This window comes from Homo sapiens, chromosome 1, assembly GCF_000001405.40.
Source record: "Homo sapiens chromosome 1, GRCh38.p14 Primary Assembly".
Taxonomy (NCBI): domain Eukaryota; kingdom Metazoa; phylum Chordata; class Mammalia; order Primates; family Hominidae; genus Homo; species Homo sapiens.
In genome coordinates, this window is record NC_000001.11 from 208,056,131 (window position 1) to 208,079,499 (window position 23,369).

Below are 23,369 nucleotides of genomic sequence, written 5' to 3' on the forward strand. Positions count from 1 at the left end.
TCTCTCATCCTGTTTCCCGGACCCTGGCAACCCGCTGCTGTTTCAGGTCCCTGACATCCTGCAAACGATGCCCACCATGCTCAAGGAGCTCCAGGGGAGAATCAACTAGCTATTGTGGGCAGTGCTGGGGAAGACAAAGGAAGAGAACAGGAGGGAGTAGGTAAGTTTCTCTCCCTCTCTTCTAATGAGGGTGTGCTTGTTACTCAGTCATCACCCTCGGACACTCTGCTGGAGTGATCTTAGAGAAGAAAAGGAGGAAGAAATCATCACAGGCTTGAAGTTAAGGAAAAAAGAAAAAAGAGAACATGTGAAGGTCACGGGCAGCATGGAAATGTTCTTCCCTGGGCCCTGGGTCTGTGTAGGAAAGGAGAAGGCCTGGAACAGCCCTGGTCAGCTGCCCCTGTGTGGAGCTAATGATGGGCCAGGGCCTCTTGGCACACTGTCTCTTCTAGGACATTTTCCTGCTTGGGGCTCATGTTTCAAAAGAAAAGCAGTATATTCAAGCACCTAGGAGAAGAGTGATGACTGAGAGATGGATGCCACTCAAGTGTGCAAGGAAGGGCACCTGTAGTTGGAAAGGCAGGATGCAGGGGTCCAGGGGCTGCACTGGGGAGAAATCAGAGCTGGCCATAGGTCTCTTTCCTCGGGCATCAGCCGAGCCCCCTTCTCAGCTGTGGAATGAGTGGGCAGAGGGCTGTGGTCAGCAGTGGGTTGTAGAAAAGGGTCTGGGCAGGAAGATCTAAGAACTGGAGAGTCCTAAGAAAATCAGGCAGCATTGCAGACAAACTCTAATCTCCTCAACTCTTCTTCCCTTTCATTCCTGGGACCCAGTGCCTGCAGGCCAGGGTGGAAAGGGCTTGAAAATATTTGTTGCAGGCACTTGTTCTTTGAGTTCAGGAAGATAGGGAGTTAAAGGAAGAAGCTAGGGCAGCTGCAGGGAGTGGAAAGGGTTATATTGAGGAAGGAGTATTATGCCAAAGCAAATTCTAGCCCTTAATAATAATAAGAACTACAGTTTACTGATTCTGCCAGGCACTCTACAAGACAGGATCTCATGCCATCCTCAGGCTCTGCTACAGAGCGGGTCTTATCTCCATTGTACAGACAATGAAACTAAGGCTCAGGGATGCTAAGTGACTTATCTATGGCCACAATTCTGGTAAGTGGCAGAGCCCTGATTCAAATCCAGGTCAGCTCGACTCCAGAGCTCATGCTTCTGACCACTCCCCTCTACTGCCAATAGATTTAATGGGATGCTCTGTATGTCTTTCAAGGAAGGGACAGTATGGATATGGCAGCAATGGTAGAGGTGAGGTTGTTGGCAGGGGTGGTGAGAAAGGCTGAGCTGGGTTCCTCAGGTTCTGAGAGCTAACCACTTGTCCCCTCTACCTTCTTGGTTGTAGACAACCATAGGCAGTGGTGTGTGCACCACCACCTCCTTCAAGCCTTGCAAGTCAGCAAGGTTGGTTGATTTCTTGTGGTTTGATTTCTTGAGGCCTCTTGTCTTCCCTGTCTCCTCCCTGTGTCTCTGGTGGCTCTGGGGTCCCTATGTATTGTTAGGAGACAATCGCTGGAGATGCCTAGATTCTCTCCTTATAAAATGGGAAGTTGGACCAAACAGCCATCCAGCTTTGACATCTGAAGACCTGACTCCTCCTGGTGGCAGGGGGCTTCCGGAGGCACCTTAGTGCCACAGATAATCTTTACAATGGGAGCTGCAGATTCCATGGGGCATACCATTTACTGGTTTGGACATCTAGAGGACCACCAAAGCAAATGTAGAAATCATCTATTCCTAAATACCTGTTTTCCAGATGAGATGTTTGAGAAGCAGGGAGCAAAGTGACTTGCTCAAAGTCACCTGGTTCATCCACAGCTGAGCTAAGGCTTGAGCACCAGTCTCCTGGAATGCAACCCAGTACCCTTGCCCCACACTACACCACCTCCCATAGACTTGCATAGATGGTGCCTCGCTCCCTGGGGCGGAAGCACACACACATCTCACATCCATCCCGCAATGGCTGAGTTCACAGGTACAGCAGATGAGAGGGAAGCAGCCTGAGGATCTAAGGGGAATCTGCTCCATGTGGAGCCCCTGTCCCAGGAGGGGCTGAGCTGCAGCCTCAACATGCATCCCATGGTCCAGGAAACTTCCTGTGACTGAATCATCCAGCCCTCCACAGACCTGTGGGGTGCTGATTGCAGGACTAAGCGGGGCCCTTTAACCGACATTAACCTAATTGCTGAGTGATAGATGGCGCAGCACAAGCATATGGTGAATCATTACCGTGCTGGCGAATCCTGCCCGCGCCCAGGACTCTGCACCGGGTCCTTTTAGCCAAATTCATCTCTCACAGACATCTGTAACGATTGTGCCTGCTGCTCACTGCCCGGGATGGAGGCTTTAATGATGTTAGCAAACTCTGAAACCTCGGGAGTGGTAATGAGCCTGGCACAGCTGGAAACCAGGGCTGCATCCAGCGAGGCATGGGGTGTGCTCTCTGTCTTCTGCCTACCCCATACCTGAAGTGGTGGTTTTCTGGGGCGACCACCAGCCTCTGCAGGAATGCATGGGGATTGTTCCCCTCCCCAGGCTCCTTTCACAGCCTCACGTGCAGCTTCTCTCGACACTTTCTTCCCCGTGGCCCTGGGTGTGGGGTGAGTGCAGTACATTTCCTTTCATAAATAGCACTGAAATTCCTTACATTTGGGCAGCACATTAGGCTAATGAAGGTCACAGAGACTGAACAGCTTGCTAAGGTCTTGGGGCTGGTCAGTAGAGGAGGCAGGTCTAAAACACGGTTTCATTCCAAACCTCATGTGATTCTGAGGGCCAGTTGCCCAGGAATTTGCACTTCTCAGCTAAAAGCCTTACCTCCCACCCTCACCCCATACCCTAGCCCTTTCCTTTGGATTCCTGTGGCATCTCACCAAGTTGGATACAGGTCTGTGTCCAGGGGCCCAAGGGAGGTCCTTGAGGTTGAGGTGGATTTGGGGTCGTGTAACTGAGCACCTTGCCTAGTCTGGCAGGGTGCGGGGCTCTGTAAAGATGGTCTGCCAGGAGGACCTCTGTGGGTGCCCTGGCTCCTGCCACAACAGCTTTCACCTCTTTTTTGGCTCAGAAGCACTATTTGTTTCCTTTCCCTTTTTCCATCTTCCTCATCTCTGTCCTATAGGCCCAGCCAGCCTTTCCTCCAGGACTCATTCCTTGCAGGAATAAGGCTGTCATTGAAGGATCAGACCTGAAGGATCTGAGAGATCAGGCCAGCTCTTTCTTCTCCCTGCTGTGGCTGGCAGGCATCACACAGCCCTCAGAGTCTGGGAATTCACCCCTTTGGACTCTGACCCTTCTCTGGGCCCTGCGAGAATCACGGCCTGTAAGCCTCAGAGCTACACACTGATTCGTGGAATTTCAGACTGCTCCTGTCCAGGAGTCGTGCCCCATCACTGTTATGGAAGGGAAGTAGCCCTGCATTAGGGGTCAGGAGACTCAAGGTCTAATTCTGCCTCAGCCACTTATGCCCTGAATGAACTGGGGAAAGTCATTTCACTTCTCATGAGTCCTTTGCTCTCTCCTGCTTTGCAGAATGATGATAACAATATTTACCTCTCAGAGTCCTTACCAATTAAAAATGAGATAGTGGATGAGAAAGTGCTCTGTTAACTGCAAAGTGCTGATGGAAGATAAAGCGATGTCATTTTTATGGTTGCCACTAAAGGCTGGCTCCGGTGGGGGGGATCAGAGGAAACAACCTGACCTGGCAGAGGGTTAGGATAAGGGAAGGAAGTCCCTGCCCCAAAGTCATGCTCTTGCTCATGCTCCCAGTACCCCCTGCAGAGCTGTGTTCACAGTGGAATCAGAATGGTTTGACCCAACTTCCCTGATAAATCATGCAGAATGATTTGGCTGCTCCCCCGCTTTCTCCTTTGGAGGGGTAGCCTCCCTTTTTCCATCCTCTGACCCCCAGCTTCGTGCCCACCTCCTGCCCACCAACTCCACAGCAGCCACCACTGCCAAATGAACACCCCAAATTGGAACATATGTCACTCCTGGAGCCCCGTTTGCCTGTCCGCAACTACATGCCTATTTTCTAATTTCCAGCTGACATTTCCCTTAGTGAAATAAATGAATTTGCTCCAGCGGAGGCCCTGCTCGGATTAAGCTGCTGTCAGAGCCCCACGCACCAAACAAATTGTTGCCTGCAGCCCACCATACAGGATGCATTCCAATGGGGGCTGACAGGGGAAGGGCTGGGGGAGACCTAGGAGGAAATGCTCAGTCACACTGGCGGGCAGGCAAAGACTGAATGAGGGACGGTCAGGGCCGGAGCCCTGATGCCAGAAGAGTCAGGGAACAGGGAATCAAACAGGATGAGACCCCCTGAGGGTGGAGGTGAGGGAGGAGGGGGCCCTGGGGAGGCTTCTGGGGCAGGTCCATGGGAGGAGAATGTAATGGGAGATCAATCATGGAAAAGGCCCAGGAAGGGAGAGGGGAGAGTCTCCAGTCTCCACTCTGAAGCTCCCATGGGAAAAGGGCTGGCCAGGGCGGACTCACTGCTCAGCGATGATGTATTCCCCTGGGAGGGGCGTGCAGGGCACCCCAGCCACCTGCACATGGTGGGCGATCTCGGAGAAGTCCAGACCCAGGTTCACGCCATGGATGGTCACTCGCGTCCCTCCTTCCGGCGGTCCAGACACCGTCAAAATCTGCAGGAGGGAAATGGGATTAGCAATTTGGTTTGGTCACAGGAACAGAAACAGCAGCACCCTTCCCCCTCCCCCAGGGAGGTTTAAGAACCTCCATAGGTTCTTAAATTCCTCCACCAGGAATTCTGGTGAGTGAGTGCGTTTTGTCCACTTTTTAGCTTATCTCGGATCTTGACATCATGTTCTGTTTTACACTGCTTCCTCGGTTCTTTAAGTCAGTCATTCATTCATCTACTTATTTAAAAAATTATCAGAAAGAATACTAGACTCAAGGCAGAAAACCATGGTTTGAGACATGTCTCTAATTCACTAGTTGCCTGATTGCGATCAGTCACGTAATCTCTCTGAACTTCAGCTTTCTTAGTTGTGAAGGGGGTATAATCATTTCTGCCAACCTCAAAGGGAGTCTGGAAGCACCAAACAGAAGGTGTGCTTGAGAGCACTTTGGAAACCAGAGGGCTTTGTAATTGTGACAGTGTTATTATTGCCCCTGCTGTGTGCTACAGCCTGTTGGGGGTACAATGATGAATATGACAGGAAATTTGGCCTCAAGAAACTTAGAGTCGAGGATGAGATAAAGGCAGTTCATGAATACCACTGATTTGGGGTATACACGGATAAGAGATACAGAGGGAAAGCAGTGGGAGTGTGGGGAGTAGAGACTAGGTGTGGCTGCAGGGGAGAAGATCAAAGATGGAAAGTGCACTTGACACTGTTCTGCAAAAAACATCCTATGACACATGCTAGGACAAAGAAGAAATAACTTTAGGATTTTCCAAATCTTTGCTGGCTTCCTGTTGGCAAGGATTGCTTATTTATTCATTCCTTAATTCAGACCCCAAACACTGGAAACAGAATAGCAGAATCCAGGTCTCTCAAGATGTAATAAAGTTCTATCTGGGAACAGACCAGGCTCTTGGAAAAATGTAGCTCTTTGGGATCCAACAGATCCCAGTGAGTAAGTTCACACTTTGTGGCCAATAGTTATCTGAAGTAGGAAAAATAACTCGAAGTGAACTCAATCCTAGATAGCAGAGGAACACAGAATTTCGTAACTGGAAGGGATCTGAGAGTATCTTATTCTAAGATACTTACTTTTTACAGCAAGACGAATGAGACCCAGAGAAGTCAGGGATATATCCAAAGCTTTGAACAACTTGTATACACAGTTGTAAAAAGGTCCAGTGTTCTTTTTACTACACCATAGGGAGGGCAGGATGGATGAAGGAAGGAGCAAAAAAAAAGGGGACTTGATGAAGATCGAGCGTCCTCTAGAATCTCCCAGAAGAGGATACCTGGGCAGAGCCACAGCCTCTCTGTTTTTGGACACTTCTGGACAGTCTCCCTCTTGACCCTGTATGTGCTGGTGGAGTGTCCGATGGGGTGGGAGGGTCAGCGTACCCTCAGGTGGAGATGATGGATGAGTACAGGTGAGCATGCTGTAGAGTGATCTGGAGACCCTTCTTATCTCCTGGCTTCTCGGCAGGTGCACTGCTCCCTTCCTGTGATGTGGGCACCATGAATTGTGCTGCCAATTCAGCCACCAACCACCAAGTGATAGTGAGCAGAGAAAAGATGCCTCCTTCCCTCACTGCCCAGCTGATATGCTGTTCAGACTCCCGGTCTCTCGGCAAGTTGGCTGCAGAGCCGGGACTTGAACCCAGACCTCCTGCCTGTCTATCCTCCGTAGGCCAAAGATGGTGCTGCCTCCTTCCCTCTGTCCCATCCAGGCCCTGAATGCTCTTATCTGGAGGCTTATTTTATCCAAGTCACCTTGTCTATGGCTCTGACTCCCTTGTCTGAAAATAAAATATCCCCCTTATGAATAAAAATAAACAGCACACATGAAATGAATCAAGGGAGATATAGTCAAGGGGGCTCAGAGGTGTCTCTGTATGCTGGGGGTGAGGGTGGGAGAAGGAAGGACAACTTGGAGAGGAAGGAGCTGGCAGGAGGAACTGACAGCCACTATAGCTCATCTGTCCCTGCACTCTAAAAATATGCAACAATAATCCACCCTGGCTGTTCCAGTCTCCCCTGGCACAGTTTCCTCAGGGACCTGGGACTCCTGGGCTCTGGGAAAAGAACCCTTGTTAATGAGAAATGGAAAGGGCTGCTTCCTTACCTGCTGCAGGAGAGCATCAGCAGGAGACAATTTGCTTTTAGTTCCTGGTTCTCTTTTAATCCACTTGGAATGAGCTTCACCAGCCCCTCCATCCCCTTCCCTAGCCACCTGGATGGCATGAACCCACCTACCCAAAGGAACTGACAAAACCTCTCCTTCCCCTACTTTTATTTCTTAAAAAACATTCTTTTGCTCGCTGCAGTTAATTACAACCTTTCAGAAAAACTGTGAAATGAAATCTTTCTGGAAAGCCTAAAAATATTTCTGTCTTGCAGGTAGCATGTGGGGACCGCATTGTGGATCCTCAGAGGCACTGGCAGGTTCCACGGGGTAGCTTCCTCCTGCTGGTAAATCACTGTAGTGTTTCCCTTCCAACATTCAAGGATCAGTGGCAGACACATGGTCGTGGGCACTGGGGTGCTGTAGGGTCTATTTGTTAGCACAGAGCTGCTCAGAGGCATAATTCAGCTTATATTGTTTAGAGAAGAAGACTTTTTTTGGGTAAATTATTGGCAAGCATTATAATCTTGGCATGAAGATACAAGTGAGATGGGTAGTTCCAGCTAGCAGCTGGGGGAATCCAAGCCGGGAGAATGAGTGTCCTTGTGGGTCATTAAACCAGGTCCACAGGGCTTGGAAAGTGTCTGGGGAGTGTAGGGTCTTTATGGGGGTCTTCTTTCTATGCAGTGTACCATGCTGCCAGCACCCAGGGTAGGTGGCAAGGGAGTTCAGGAGACAACTAAGCAACTATCATGCTCTGGGGCTTACAGGAGACACAGCTTATAGCTTCCTTGCTTAAAGCAAAACTGACGTGTAAAAGCCTGAATTTCCAAAACATAGATGAAGTGGTGATTATTTGATTTGCAAGTGGATTCCCAACGCCTCCATTACTGATGACTTCCAAATCCATAAGGTTGGCGCAGGCCCCTCTCCTGAGCTCCACAGCCATATATCCAATTGCTACTGGGCATCTCCACTTCCCCATGTATCTCCCTCAGGCGCCTCACATTTCACCACGTCTAAAAACGAACTCTTAATTTTTCCTCCTCCCACCCCCAAGCCAATTACCCTCCCAGATCCTCTTTCAAGGTTAATGGACTCACCATGCACCCAGCCAGGAATTCTGTAAGCACCTTCAACTGTTTCTTTCTCCCATCTACCACAAATAATAAAGAAGGTCGCCAGGCCCTATCAGTTCTCACTCCCAGGTGTCTTTTGAGTCCATGTGTTCCAGAGTAGGTGTTCAGGAGGACTCCATCATCTCCTACCCACACTAACCCCAAGGGTTTGCATGTAAATCTACTTTCCAGTAGCTGCCAGGGTGACCTTCATGAACACATACTTGACCAGGTTACTAGTCACTTGCTCTAAAAACCTTCCATGGCTCTGACCATTGCCAAGGCAAAGTCCCTAATTCCTAAGGCTGGCCTGGCAGGTGTGGTCTTTCTGGTTCTGATCCCTTTTACCCCTTCTGCCACACTTTCCATTCAATAGCACATCCTTCATGCCCTGCCCTATCGGTGGTTCCTTTCTACATCACGCTGTTTAAAAATCCCTGAGCCTTTGGACATGTTACCCATTCACCTCCAGCTTAAAAATCAGAGTGGCTCAAGGTGGAGGTCTGTGTGCAGAGTGCAAAGGAACAGAGAGAGGCACCCTGTAGAAGGCAGCTTCTGTAAGCCTTCCAGGCAGCTGAGAATGAGTCTAAGGGCCATGCCATCTCTGTGTTGGGCCCGGGAAGCAAGGACCCTGCATCCTGCCTTCTGTATTTCTTCTTAGGATCAAGGATTCGGAGATGGCCAGGGAGGGGAGGCTTGGTGACAAAGAATTTCTTCTCCAGAGCGGGAGTGAGCAGGATCTTGCAGGACACCACCTTAGACCAGGAAGCTGCAGGGTCCCAATCCCCCGACCCCCACCAGCCCCGCCCAACACACACAGAGACTGTGTCCCCAGGGCTCTCTCTTAAAAGCAGCTTTTGATTGCAGGGCACCCAGGGTTGCATTCCACAAAGTTGGCTCTCCTGGAAGCCAAGTCTGGCCTTTCTACATGGATCTATAGAGGGGCAATTTGGCTGAATCCCCAGCTACTGCTTGCAGGACTTTAAGCAAGTCCTTCTAGATCTGGAAGGAGCTGAGAGGCTGCAGGGGAGGGGAGAGCTTGTCTCCCACAGAGGTGAGGATGAGAGGCTGCGGTGGAGTCATACAGAGTGCCCCAATGACAGAAGGGAAACCAAAGTATGGCCAGCATGTTAGGCAGATCCATGTCTTGGTCAGTTTCAGATAGCTCTATGCTGCTGGCTACAGTCGGATAGGGAAGAAAGACCATCTGATGCTGGGACAGTGTCTGCAGAAGGAAGAGAGTAACCTCTGGAATCAGACAGACCTGAATTTAAATACCAGCTCTGACACCTACAAGTTATGTGACCTTGAATCTCAATATCCTCATTCAAAAACAGATAATAATGCTTGCCTCACAGGGATGATGTGAAGATTAAGTGAGATAACATCTGGAGAGTTCTTAGTATGCTGGTTTAGAGAGTAGGTCTTGATAATTGGTAATCTCCTTCCCTGTGTTTCCCTGCACCTCTGTCTTCCTAGATGACTAAAACATGGGATGTTAGAATTGGCAGGGTTAGAGATGATGGAAGTCTTCCTATCCGTCTGGAAGGGCAGCACATGGATGAGGGAGCGCATCACAGACACTGGGGTGACCCGGGGTACAAAGAGCTGCTCATGGGCCGTTTGGAGAATGCCCGAAGCCTGAGCTTGGGCAGGGAGTAGTGATGCCGCCAGAGCAGGGCCCTGGCTTTGGTGAGTTCTGGGCCCTGCACAGAAGCAGATTCAGAGCGAGACATCATCCTTTCACCCAAAATAAGTTTGGAAGAACACTGGCCCTGTACAAGATGTTCTTTATTCTTTCCTCCCTCCCTTGTGGCCATTTCTTCTTTCCCTGGCTATCAGCCATTCTGGGGTAGGTGCAGCATTCCACAATGAACTCAATTAATGCTTTCAGGGAAGTACTTCTGAATGAGACACCCACACAAACAAATGATTTGACAGTTTGGGGGGTGTATGTGTGTGTGTGTGTGAGTGAGTGTGTGTGTGGTGGGGATGTGGAGAGAGAGGGAAGGGAAGTGAAACCTGTCAAATCAGCAGGGAAGATCTTTGGATACTGACTCATTTCAGCCCCAAGCTTTTCTCCCCATATTATACTGTGGACTAGAAGTCTATCTGAATTCTCCCCATGTGGACCTCAGAAGTGAGAGCTAGAAGGAGGGGATTGGAGAAAGAATATCCTAGAAGCAGCCTGCTGCTGTTGGGTTGGGGCGAAAGGGGTCACTGAGGCTTTCCCCTCTGTGCTGTGCTGGCACTGCCTGTGTGCCCCTCCTCTGCCCGCCCCTCACACTTGGGACCCCCAGAGTCCTGGCCCTGTCCTCTTATGGACTACAGTCTTGTGCTGCATATTGACGTTTTGGTCAATGACGGACCATATATACGACGATGGTTCTTTAAGATCATAATGGAGCTGAAAAATTCCTACCACCTTGTGGCATTGTGGCAGTCATAAGTCATAGGAAAGCCTAGCATATACAATTATGTACAGCACATAATACTTGATAATGATGCTAAATGACTAGGTTATTGGTTTATGTACTCACTATATTTTTTATTGTTATTTTAGAGTGTACTCCTTCTACTTATTTAAAAAAAGCTAACTGGAAAACAGCCTCAGGGAGGACCTTCAGGAGGGATTCCAGAAGAAGGCATTGTCATCATAGGAGACGACAGCTCTATGCATGCTATTGCCCCTGAAGACCTCACAGTGGGACAAGATAAGGAGGTGGAAGACAGTGATATGGATGATCCTGACCCTGGGTAGGCCTAGGCTGATGTGTGTCTTTGTGTCTTAGTCTTTAACAAAACAAATTTAAAAAGTAAAAAAGTGAATTTCAAAAATAGAAAAAATATTATAGAATAAGGATATAAAGAAAGAAAATATTTTTGTACAGCTGTACAATGTATGTGTTTTAAGGTAAGTGTTATTACAAAGAGTCAAAAGGTTAAAAAATTAAGTCTATAAAGTAAAAAGTTATAGTAACTGGCCGGGCGCAGTGGCTCATGCCTGTAATCCCAGCACTTTGGGAGGCCGAGGCAGGCGGATCACCTGAGTTCGGGAGTTTGAGACCAGCCTGAGCAACATGGGGAAACGCTGTCTCTATTAAAAATCCAAAATTAGCCAGGCTTGGTGTTGCATGCCTGTAATCCCAGCTACTCGGGAGGCTGAGGCAGGAGAATCACTTGAAGCCGGGAGACAGAGGTTGCAGTGAGCCGAGATCGCACCATTGCACTCCAGCTTGGGCAACAAGAGTGGAACTCCGTCTCAAAAAAAAAAAAAAAAGTTATAATAACTAAGGTTAATTTATAATTAAAGAAGGAAACAATTTTTTAATGAATTTAGTGTAGCCTAAGTGCATACTGTGTTTATAGTCTATGGTAGTGTACAGTAACGTCCTAGGCCTTCACATTCACTCACCACTCACTGAACTCACCCAGAGCAACTTCCAGTCCTGCAAGCTCCATTCATGGTAAATACCCTATATGGCGTACCATTTTTAATCTTTTATATCATATTTTTACCATCCCATTTTTATGTTTAGATACACAAGTACTTACCATTGTGTTACAATCGCCCATGGTGTTCAGGACCAGTCACATGCAGTACAGGTTTGCAGCCTAGGTGTGTAGTAGGGTACACTGTCTAGGTTTGTGTAAATACATGCCATGATGTTCACACAAGGATGAAATCGTCTAATGACACATTTGTCAGAATGTATCCCCATGGTTAAGCGATGCATGACTGTACATGTGCTCGCTGGGAGAGCTCAAGGGCCCCCACAGCTATAGCTTTATAGGGTGTAAAGCCTCTATGCATTTGACATGCTGTTCCCTGTGCTGGTCAAGCATGTCCACTGACAAATGCCTACCCATCCTCAAGTCTCTACTCAAAAGATGCCTCCTCAGGGAGGCCTCCCTGGACTCCCTTAGTAGATTTACTAGCCCCTTCTTCTACCCTCCCACTTCCTTCTATGAACACCTCCAGGACCACAATTGCCACACTGCATTGTAACTGCTTATTCCCTCAATAAGACGATAACTATCTTGGGACAAGGGACTATCTAGCTTTTCTTAGGAAACTAATCCTTAGCACGCTGCCTGGAACGAGTAACTGTCAATAAATATCCCCAATTCTCTGTTAAAAGGAAATGCTGGTCTCAACCAGACACTAGAACAGACTGTATTCTTTAATGATGACTGGATGAGTGGAGGTACCTAACTGTTGCTTGAGAGTGATGTAGTATTTTAACATCAGGATCATTAAACAGCTCTTCCTGCAATCTCCCTTGCTTTAATTTAAGCCAATTTCTGGTTTGATTCCTCATCGAATGGAGGACTGAACAGCTGCCTCCTCATCAAACATCTTTTAGCTACTGAAGACAGCAATTAAGTCACCCCTGGCCTTTGCTTCTGCAGTCCTTCCAGCCTTTTCACCGAAGATCTTGGTTTCTAAACCCTTTGATCATTTTGGATGCTTTTCTGTGGACTCTCGGATTTCTATGCATCTTTTGAGAGTGTAGTGACCCGCACTCGGGTCGTGCCTTCAGCAAAGGCCTGATTGATTGATGTGCAGTAAGGAGGGCCTGCGAAGATGACTTCCTTTGCTTGTCACACACGCCATTAACCAGGCTGGCCCTGGGCAAAACCCAGTGGAGGATAAACATTTGGTATCTTTCCCATGTTCTTTTGTGTTTTCCTCCCTGGGGTTCTTTCCCCCACTTTAGGCACCTTTCATTCAGCTGTTCCCTCCTCCCTTTCTGTATTTGTATACAGCAAGTACGGAAAGCTGTATTTGCGTCTTAATGGGACTTTTAAGTTGTGTTATTACTTGGCCTTAAGAGCACTGATATCTATTGACTGGTTGTAGAATAAAAAGTGTGTATATCGTTTGCAGGATTCAGAAGGAAAACAAGGGAAACACTTTAGGGTAGAGAGCTCAGGCTAGCAGCCCTAAACCCTGCCCCAGGAGCAGTCAGTGACCACGCCCAGGTATAAAGGTGGCTAGTTTAAGTCCTGGCCATGCACTTCTTGATCTGTACATCTTAAGCCAGGAAGACTAGGTCAGCAGGATGTGGGATTAGGCAGGCATGCCTAGGTCATAGCACATATGACGATGGCAGGGGACTAAGTAGCAGATTCCTATCTTCTGCTGAGGCCCTCTCAAAGCTTCCAGGAACTTCTGGTTTAGGGAGTCACTTCTCCACCTGCTCAGACCCCACCTTGACAGCTGCACAGCCCAACTGAACCCAGGAGAGCGCCAGGGCACCACAGCTAAATCTGTATTCCTGCCAGACCCTGTCATGTTTGTTTTCCTCCGTGGGTGCCATGACCTGGAAAGCAGCCGCGGTGATGCTGCACCCGACCTCATTCTTGCAGCCACTAATTGAACAGTTTGGAGGGAACTGTGCCACAAAGCAGCCCAAGGGTGAGAGCAGATGCAGCCAATTAATTACAGCTGGGGAGATGCGAAGGGCTGCACTGGGGAGGCGCTGGAAGGCCCAGGGGCTTGGCAGCCTGGGGAGTGAGTGCTCAGGTGGGCTGTTCCTAGGTTCAGCCTCAGGCAGAGCCTTGTCAGGGCAGGGTTGGGGCCAACTTCAGAGTAGGGGCTTATCGGGGCAGAGGAGCTTGGTGGGAGCTTCACAAAGCCCAGCTCCCGTTCTAGAGACCCTATCTTCCTCTGGTTATATCTCCAGGCTGATAGAGATAGCGGGAAAGAAGCCAGAAGCAGGGCTTCAGCTCCAAGGTATTGAAGATTCTGAGAATGATGGCTGCTGCTTTCACGTTTGTTAAGTGCTTATAATGAGTAAGGAATTGTGCCAGGGGCTTTACATATTTTATCCCACTAAGCGCTCAAAACAAGCTGTGAGGTGTTATTATCATTCCCATTTTTCGGATGAGAAATAGTGTCCCAGAGAGGTTAAGTAACTTCTTGAAGGTTCCACAGTGAGTGGGGCAGAGCTCAGCCAGGTTTATCTAACCGCTGCTTTTTGCCTTACACAGCACTGCCCCAGGGGACACCCCCATCCTTGGTCAACCACCATGAGAATGCATGCCCTGGCCTGCTCTTCGCTTCTGTCTGCTTAGGCACTCCAGCCCCTTTCCCTTTCTTCCCATCTCTGCAGCAGGCTTAAGATGTACAGATCAAGAAGTGCATAGCCAGGACTTAAGACATGGCTAAGGCCATGCCTTGCTGCTTTCCAAGGAGCTCTGGAGTTGGCCTTGCTGGTCACTGCCTTTACTCCTGCTCTCTCTGGCTCCCTGAACTTCTCAGCATCCATCCCCACTCCTCTCTGACCTCACCCAGGCAATATCCACACTCCCCTCTTGGCCTTGCCCCTTTGTCTCTTCCTGTGCATGTCTAGTCTCCCCAAACAATGCTGGGATTGGGGACTACTGGCTTTCTTCCCATTTCTGCAGCAGGCTTGAGGAAGAGCTAGGTGCCAGCTCCTTTCTCTCCTCTGGCTCTGCAGATTGACAGTTCTAATTTGTCCAAGTGAGCTCAGGAAAGAGATGAAGGACTGGTTTGACACTGGTCAAACACAGGGGCTCTTGAGTCAAGTAGCTAGCTGCAGGTCAAATTTCAGTGCTAAAACTTATTCTCAATGTCACTTCAAGAAAGTTATCAGACCTCATAGTGCTTCAGTGTTCTCATCTGTAAAATGGGTCTAATGACAATACTAACTTCTATTTCATAACAGTTGCTTTGAGGTCGAAATGAGATGATATATGGGTGCTGAGCTAAGTGTAAGCTAAGCATTCAGTGAAAGTTAGCTATGATTTTTCTCATGACTGTTTTATGATGAAGAAATCCAGAGGGAAGCTGGGTTAGCTGAGGTCCAAAGGAAAAGTAGCTTTGTTTTCACGAGCGTCCTGTGCAGGTGGAGCCTCTGCATATTGTTCTTGGTGGGGACTCAGGGCAGGGGCAGGCAGGCTGACTCGAGGAGGGGAGGTGGTTGGTGGGGACATTGCCCAGCGTGGCATTGGCTGCCCCTCTATGGGCCTGCACAGCTCTCACCATGGTTTCCAGCAGGTGATCAGTCCCCAACACTGGATTTGTAAAAGGATACAGGAGAAACTAATGTCAGAGCCTCCCAGAAGGAGAAGAGGTGCCGAAGAAGCCACTCCAGAATGGTCTCAGTCCCATCAGCATCCTCAGCGGATGTTCATACTCTGTATTAAAAGCTTTTGTGTCTGAGATTGGGATTTCAGGAGGGTTCTGCCCTGAGGAGCCCCCTAATCAGGACCAACGAGTGAGGACAAGTCGAGGATGTGTTGACAGCTTCTCCTCTCTTTCCTAATCCTCTCACTCCTTTGACTTTACAGGGCAGTGATGCCAACTTCGTGGCTGCACATTTTCATTCCCTCCTGGCTTCTAAAGACACCTGGATGCTGGGTCTGAGAAAGCAAATTGTGGCATTCTTTTCCACTTGAAGTGTATGTGTGTGTGTCTGTGTGTGTGTGCCTGTGTCTGCACTCCTCACAGTAGGCTAGAGCCCAGCTGACGAGCTCTGTAGGAATCTATGGCATTGGCGGTGCCAGCTCTCCTGCCCGGCGTGAATCCTTGCTGGCTCTGTCTTAGCTGATAGTACATTCAAAACCTAACTGTTATCTCAGCAGAGTAACTCCATTATTCATCCTGACACCATCCCCTGTTAGCTGTTTGTTGCAGTGATGTTATATTAATGAGGCCTGCAAATAAATGAACGAAAGATCAGAGTGCCGGCTTGTTTCTCAGGAAAGCTGGCTGACTTATTTATTTATTTGTGGGGGACTTTGCAGTGAGTCACTCTGGTCCTGGGCAGGTGGCTTTTGGCCTTTCCTGCAGAGATTTGGTGCAGCCTTGCAGATAAATACTTTTAAATGTCCCACAGTTTCCCAAACAGTTTCACAAATGCATTTGCATCTGAGAGAATCTAGGCGAAACCAATCTACTTTAAATTATTTGTGAAAGTGGAGAACAGGAGCCAGCAGGAGTGATGGATCATCTCAAACTATTAAGGTATCAAAAATTATTTGAGCTTGGTTTTGGAGGCCAGTGTACATGGTTTTCTATAATTGATTTTCTTTCTCAGTTACACGTACCTAAGATGCGTAAGATAATGTTAAAGAGAATTTATATTCCCTAAGCATGGACTAGGGAGGTGTTGGAGAAGTTACTGAGGCTGAAAAATTCACAAAGTAAAAGCTACATGGTGGTCATTGGAGAAACAGCTGTTAAACTAACACCCCCACTGCCTGGCATCAATGTGGCCTTATGGTGCAATGTGCCAGGTGACTTCAGGAACACACAGTCATGTTCTTTCACATCTTAAGGGTGGTGGGTTCCTGGTCACACCAACTCTGGTGTTCATCTCCTGCATCTTAAGCCTGATTTGCCTTGGCTTCACCCTGATCTCTGTTCTTGCCTGCAAGTGTGAACTACCTGGGCCCCATTGTCTGGCCTCTCCCATTAGGCTGAGATGCTTGAGAGGTCAGAGCTGCCAGGCCAGGGAATCCAGCTTTCACTTTAGCTTAATGGCCATCTCATTGGTGGGCATAGCCAAAAAAACAACCCAACTGAGTGTGATAGCTTCAAGAAATAACTGGGGTAGAGGTTAGAATAATGCTTCCCCCAAAAGGCAAGAAATGACTGCCCCAAGCTCACATGCCCCAATATCCCCTTCTTGTTTTTCCTCCCACTCATAGGAGTAAGTGTGGACCTCATTACATTTAGGAAGACAGTTAGGTGAAGATTACTTTAAGGCTCAGTACAAAGGGTAGCCAATGTTCCCAATTTATCTGGCATCTCTTGGTAAGTTCCAAGAGGATTCTGATCCTGCACGCAGAGACATTTTAGGTACTCTTGGGGTGGGATGAGGTGGGGAAATGTATAGCCAAGGAATAGCCCTCCATCCCCCTCACCATGGTGTGGTGGAGGAAGTCGGCCTTCTGCTCTGCCACTAACCAGATGTGTGTGTGACACTGGGCTAATTCTTTACTTCTCTAAGAACTGTTTCCCCAACTCTTAAGTGAAGATAATAATAGCCAACTTGCAGGGTTGTTTGAAGGAGTAGGCTCAGAGCCTGGCACATGGGAGAGTCTTATTAAAGAGAAGCAATTATCATGAAGACTCCCAGAATTAGAATGTTGGCTGGTCTGCTCATGTCCCTTGCCTGAGGTCCTGAGGTTAGTGTCCTCATTAACAGAAGACCTGTATCCCTGCTTCAGTCCTTCTACACAGGACACAACTGCAGAGGGTGGAGATTAGAAGTCTGCCCTAGGCCTTTTGGAGGAAGCACAATGGCCTGCAGGGCAGTCAGTTTCCAGCCTCTTCCAGGTGGCCAATGTTCAAGCATAGGCTGGGGCTACATTGGAAGAGGCTGCATAACCTAGCCTCCTTAACCAGGAGTCACATATACATGTGACAGACAACTTCCAAGCCCAGCATAGTTCATGGCATACAGTAGTCATTAATTAAATATTCATTTAATGAGTGAATTAACATATTTGGAATGGTGGCATCTCCCCCCTCTGATCAGAATGCTCACTCTTATGGTTTGACTCTTGTCTCCTCAAAATTCATATGGTGAAGACCTAATTCAGTGCCTTAGAATGGCACCTTCTTTGGATATAGGGTCTTTAAAGAGGTAATCGTATTAAAATGAGATAATTAGAGTGGGCACTAATCCAATATGACAGGGTCTTTATTTAAAAAAAAAAAATAGGGAGACAGACACACACACAGAGATAGAATGCCATGTGGACATGAAGGCAGAGGTCAGGTTGATGCTTCTACAAGCCAAGGAACAGCAAAGATTCCCAGCAACCACCAGAAGCCAGGAAAGAGACCTGGAACAGATTCCCCCTCACAGCGCTCAGAAGGAACCCACGCTGCTGACACCTTGATCTTGAAGTTCAGACCTCCAAATATATTCAGGTTGTTTAAGCCACCTGTTTGTGGTTCTTTGCTAGGGCAGCCCTAGGAAACTGATACACTCGCTTGGAGTGAAGAAGACCTCTGTTATGTGAGCTCCAAAATCCCTTTACCCTCCCTGAGTTTATCTTCCTGAGAAAATATTCAGTCTCTTCCTTTTCTGCTGGATCCTGCCTACTCATGGCCCCTTAAGAAATGTTTTTCTCTGGGCCTTCCTTTCCAGTCTGTGGCTCCTAACACCCTCCTCTTTGAGGTCCCAGCAGGTCCTGAAGCATAGGCTGGGGGAACGGAAACGTGGCGGGCCAGCCATCTCATGGGCTTTCCAATCCTCTGCACGTCTCCTGTTCCTAGGGTTGAACAGGTGACACGTGCACAGACACCCACGATGACAGCTGGAAATGGGAGCAGCTCAGGAGGCCTCCCATGGGGGACAGCATCATTATCACACCACGAGCTGGCTGAGGAGCAGAAGGTAAGTCCTGAGGGGGTCCTAACCTGAAGTTTATGCAAACTGTGAAATTCAATAGCCTGTACAACTTGTTCTACATGAAGCTGCCATAAAAGATGGGTCCCTCGGGTGGGCCTGGTTGCCATGGAGAAGATGGGGTAAGGAGGGGTTAAGGAATAACACAGCTGTTTATCTAACTATGCGTGAGCCCACTTCTTTTTCTAACGTAGAACTCCTTTGAGATCATCTCATTTATTTCTCTGCTGTCCCAGGAAGGACAGCATCCATTCCAGCTTCCACTTATTTCCAGGACTGGAGATTCTGCCACCCCCAACTGCCATCACAGGCCATCTTAGAATCCTTCTCTTTTCATCCTTCAAGAAGGATCTTTGTAGTAAATGGCTTCTATTTACTGCACAGAGTGGCTGCACTAAGGAGGACACCCATTCTGAAGATGAAGGCTGGGGACAAGGAGGTCTGCATCAAAGGGTATGGGCCTCATGGAAGTCCGATGATTCAGAGGTTTGGGGAAAACATCTATGCCAGTGCAAAGGGATTAGCCAAGAAAGCTGAAGTAAAGAAAATGAGTTGGCCGGGCATGGTGGCTCATGCCTATAAATCCAGCACTTTGGGAAGTTGAGGTGGGCGGATCACCTGAGGTCAGGAGTTTGAGACAAGCCTGGCCAACATAGTGAAACCCTGTCTCCAGCAAAAATACAAAAATTAGCTGGGCGTGGTGGCACGTGCCTGTAGTACCAGCTACTCGGAAGGCTGAGGCAGGAGAATCCCTTGAACCCGGAGGCGGGGGTTGTAGTGAGCCAAGATCACACCACTGCACTTCAGCCTGGGCGATAGAGTGAGACTCTGTCTCAAAAAAAAAAAAATAATAAGAAAAGAAAATCTCCTTAAAGGTTGCTTTTAGCAAATTACATATTCTTGCCAAAAACACCATAGAAATGAGGTTGTGTCCTTCTCAGAGCATTCTATTGAAAGGTACATGAGGTTGATTTTTCCCATTACTGGCTTTGTTTACTTTCATCAATTGGTTTAGGTGAGGTCTACCACGTTTCTTCACTGCCCAGTCACTATTGTTCTTGTCATAATTAACAAGTATCTTATGGGAAGGTAGCTTAAGGTTATGTAAATATCCTATTTCTCATCATACTTTCATCTACTAATTTTAGTGTTCATTGACCATTCTTTGCCTGAAACAATTATTACTTGTGTACTGTGCCAAATGGTGATTTCTATTTCCGTAATTACTTCTACATTTTTTAGTTGGAATCTAGTGTAAAGAAGAGCTTTTCTCTCTATTTATTTATTTAGAGATAGGGTCTTGGCCAGGCATGGTGACTCAAGCCTGTAATCCCAGCACTTTGGGAGGCCAAGGTGGGCGGATCACTTGAGGTCAGGAGTTTGAGACCAGCCTGGCCAACATGGCAAACTCCACCTTTACTAAAAATACAAAAATTAGCCAGGCGTGGTGGTGCATGCCTGTTGTCCCAGCTACTCAGGAGGCTGAGGAGTGAGAATTATTTGAACCCAGGAGGTGGAGGTTGCAGTGAGCCAAGATTGCGCCACTGCAGTCCAGCCTGGGCGACAGAGTGAGACCCTGTCTCAAAAAAAAAAAAAAAAAAAGTTAAAAAAGAGACAGGGTTTTGCTCTGTTGCCCAGGCTGGAGTGCAATGGCATGATCATAGTTCACTGTAGCCTCGGACTTCTGGAATCAAGTGATCCTCCCACCCCAGTCTCCCGAGTAGCTAGCACCACAGGCATGCACCACTACACCCAGCAAAATTTAGAATTATTATTATTATTTTTTAGAGATCAGGATTCTGCTATGTTGCCCAGGCTGTTCTTGAACTCCTGGCTTCAAGCAATCCTCTCAGCTTCTGCTCCCCAAAGAACTGGGATTACAGGTGTGAGCCACTGCAGCTGTCCCCCCATTATTTATTTACTTGTTTGTTTCTTTTTTTCAGGAAGAACCATGGATTCTTATTCTATTGGTGAAATCCACGGCTATCAATTTTTATGTTCTTGCTCAAATTGCCCAGATTCGGCTTCTGAGATCCCCTTCAAGTTGTGTCAGGTGCCCTGTTGATAGGTACCATACAGGTATTTTTGGTACTTTTGCCACAGTAATATGTAACCTGAATTTGATCATGAGGAAGCATTAGACAAATCCAAATTGAGGGACATTCTACAAAATAACTAGCCTGTACTTCTCAACAGTACCAAAGTCATAAAAGACAAAAAAAGACTGAGGATTAAAAGACTAAGGAGACATGACAATAGAATGCCACATGGGATCCTGGATTGGATCCTAGACCAGAAAAAGGACATCGGTGGGACAATTGGCAGAATATTAATAAGGCACGTTTATTAGATGGTATTATTGTATCCATGCTAATTTCCTGATTTTGATAATTATACTGTGGTTATGTAAGATGTTAACTTTGGAAATCTGGGTGAAGGGTATATGAAAGTTCTTTGTACTATTTTTGTACCTTTTTATAAGTCTAAAATTATTTCAAGAATGAAAAGTTAAAGAAAGAGACAATGACTTTCACAGGGAAAGGAGGATGGGGTAGGGGTAGGAGAAAATGAAAAGAAAAAAAATATTGAAATGAAAATAATGAAATGAAAGAAAATATTCCAGATAATCATGAATACAACATTCCAGGCCTGGATGCTCCCTCCCCCATGTCCTGTTCAGAGTGACCTCCCCCGAGTGGCTTGGGACACAGCATGGATTTGTCTCTCTCCAAAGATGCTCCTTCATTTCACAACAGCCTTGACTTGAAAAGTACCAGCAGGAGATTGGGGCCTCTGATGCCTGCTGATATGTTCACTGGGAAAATCAATTACAGCATAATTACCTCGGGGGGTTAATTAGCCTCGCGTAGCCTGGGTGTCCTCTGTGAACAGAGCAGCCCGTCAGCCCCCGGTCAGCGAGCAGGGGCGGCTGAGGCAGAGGTTTCCCAGTGAGAAGCTTGCCTTCGGCTGGAAAGGGGCCCCAGCCAGTTGGGGAGTGGATGGTGCAGCTGCTGGGGCTGGCAGAGGCGGGTGGTGCTGATAGAAGCAAGTCTCTGCCTAATTTAAGCTCCCCCACACCATGGGTGCCCACAGATGTAGAGACTGACAACTGCAGCAGCAAGAATTACAGAACAGTGCAAGTTCTCAGGCCAGCAGTGGCCGGAAATCACTCGAATCAGGGGGAAGGCACGGAGCCCTGAGCAGCTCAGGAAGCTAGCTGTCTGAGGGCAGAGGCTGGGGCACCACCAACAGCCCCTGCAAACATTCTCTTCCAGAGACATAAAGACACAGGAGAAAGTCAGGAGGCACCATCCCTGGTCACGATCAAGAATAAAATGGGATTGAAGTAGCTCTGTCTTTGAAAGGCAGTGTCTGTGCTCTCCTAACTCCTCTCTGCACAGATGAATGAGGGCCTGGATGCAGTAAGAGCTCTCCCACCGACAGCCCTGCATTGTCCGGGATATGGTGTCTTGTGGATGGATTGCATCTATCTGGTCTATGAAAGGTCCGGATATGAAGGAAGGGGAAGCACCACTTCTTCTTTTATGTTACTTGGGAATATTGTAAAGAATTTAAAAATGGTTTTATAATTAAATATGAGTTCAAATGTTGGCTCTGCCACTTATCAGCGGTATAAACTTGGGCATGTCACTCAATTTCTCTGAGCCTCATTTTCTTCATCTGTACAGTGGGGGTGAGAATACTTATTTCCCATGGTGGTTGTGAGGATTAAATGTAATTTACTCACATTAAATAAATAATTTCTACCTCTTCAAATAACCTATCTGTAGGTTAGCAGCACCCATTCTATCTTGAGGGTTTCTTTTTAAAACTGATCTGGGGTTTTGATATAATCATAGAGACGTTCTAGAAGTTTCCCAATATTCTGTGACATAGGTGAGGACCAGAGTTGCTTTCCTTGGCCAGCAGGGAAAATGAAGCAGGGAAAAGGATGGTGCAGCAGCTCAGGGAAGAGGCAGAAAAGGAGCAGCCTCTTCCTCCTTTCTTAAACATGCAGATCACTGGGTACCTGCCTGGGCCTTTATTCCTAGCCACCACCAGGAAAGTGCAGTTAGTTTCAAAGCATGAGTGACAGTTATAGACTAGGGAGCAGTGAAGAGGGAGCACAGAACACAACCAAAGTTAAATACAGCAACTCCTCTCCCAGGCCATTTGAAACCCAAGCAATTGCATTTTCATCCACATCATCTTCCTTTGGAATTTGCTATTTTGGAAACATCATTTTTTCCCCAGGATAATTAACTTCCTTTTCTTTCCATTAAAATGCATGAAAAAATTGGGACGGGGAGTAAATCCTGGGAAATGGCACGGTGGCTAATGTAGTGCCTGCCTTTACTCTCTTCTTCCATTTTCAGCTTTGCAACTCCGAGCTAATTGCGGCTCCTGAAATCACATTTCTGCTGAGAAAAGCTAAACCTGTTTTCTGAAATGTTCACCCACCATGGAGCCAATTTCTCCTCCTCACTTGGCTCAGCCAGCCTGGCAGGGAGACTGGGTTGGCTCTGCCTCCCTTGTCGTGTGCACGTGCACACCAATGCGCTTGTACATTCATGCGCAGGCATGAGGATGCGCTTCCATACACTTACCTCTTATACCTAGACAGGGGCCGTTAAGACACACGCGAGAGGTTTCCTACACCCCCCCACATTAAACTCACTGTACGCCAATAATTTGTCCACAGAGTCTCAATTTGCACTCCTCTCCCACTGTCTTGGGGTCAGCTCTTGGCCACCCCTTCCTGCTCTAGAGACTTGCAGGACTTACCTCGGTGATTTGAGGGTTGGAGCACTTGACATTGTGGCTGGACCAGTCGAGCCAGGGGCTGGAAGGGCTGGTACAGTGCTGGTGGAGGGTGCACCTGCGCTCGCCGCTGCACCAGCCACACTCAAACTTCCGGTCGGCCTTGAGGCAGAGGCCGCAGCTCTCCCGCTGGGCTGCACACTTGTAGAGATGGACTGCAAAGAGAGCAGGTGGTCACAGATGAAACCAGAAAGGGCTGCTCAC

The 23,369-nt window shown here is 47.9% G+C and overlaps 1 protein-coding gene across 3 annotated transcripts in view; it reads right to left on the reverse strand.

Moving 5' to 3' along the window:
• The window catches only part of PLXNA2 (plexin A2), a 222,143-nt gene that overhangs the window by 33,889 nt on the left and 164,885 nt on the right, over positions 1–23,369 (reverse strand). For all 3 annotated transcript variants that reach the window (NM_025179.4, XM_005273164.4, XM_005273165.5), the window contains exons 12-13: positions 23,130–23,320; positions 4,556–4,707 (exon numbers count right to left, since the gene is read on the reverse strand). In NM_025179.4, the coding sequence (NP_079455.3) occupies positions 4,556–4,707; positions 23,130–23,320 (343 nt within the window). The remainder of the gene's footprint in view (positions 1–4,555; positions 4,708–23,129; positions 23,321–23,369) is intronic.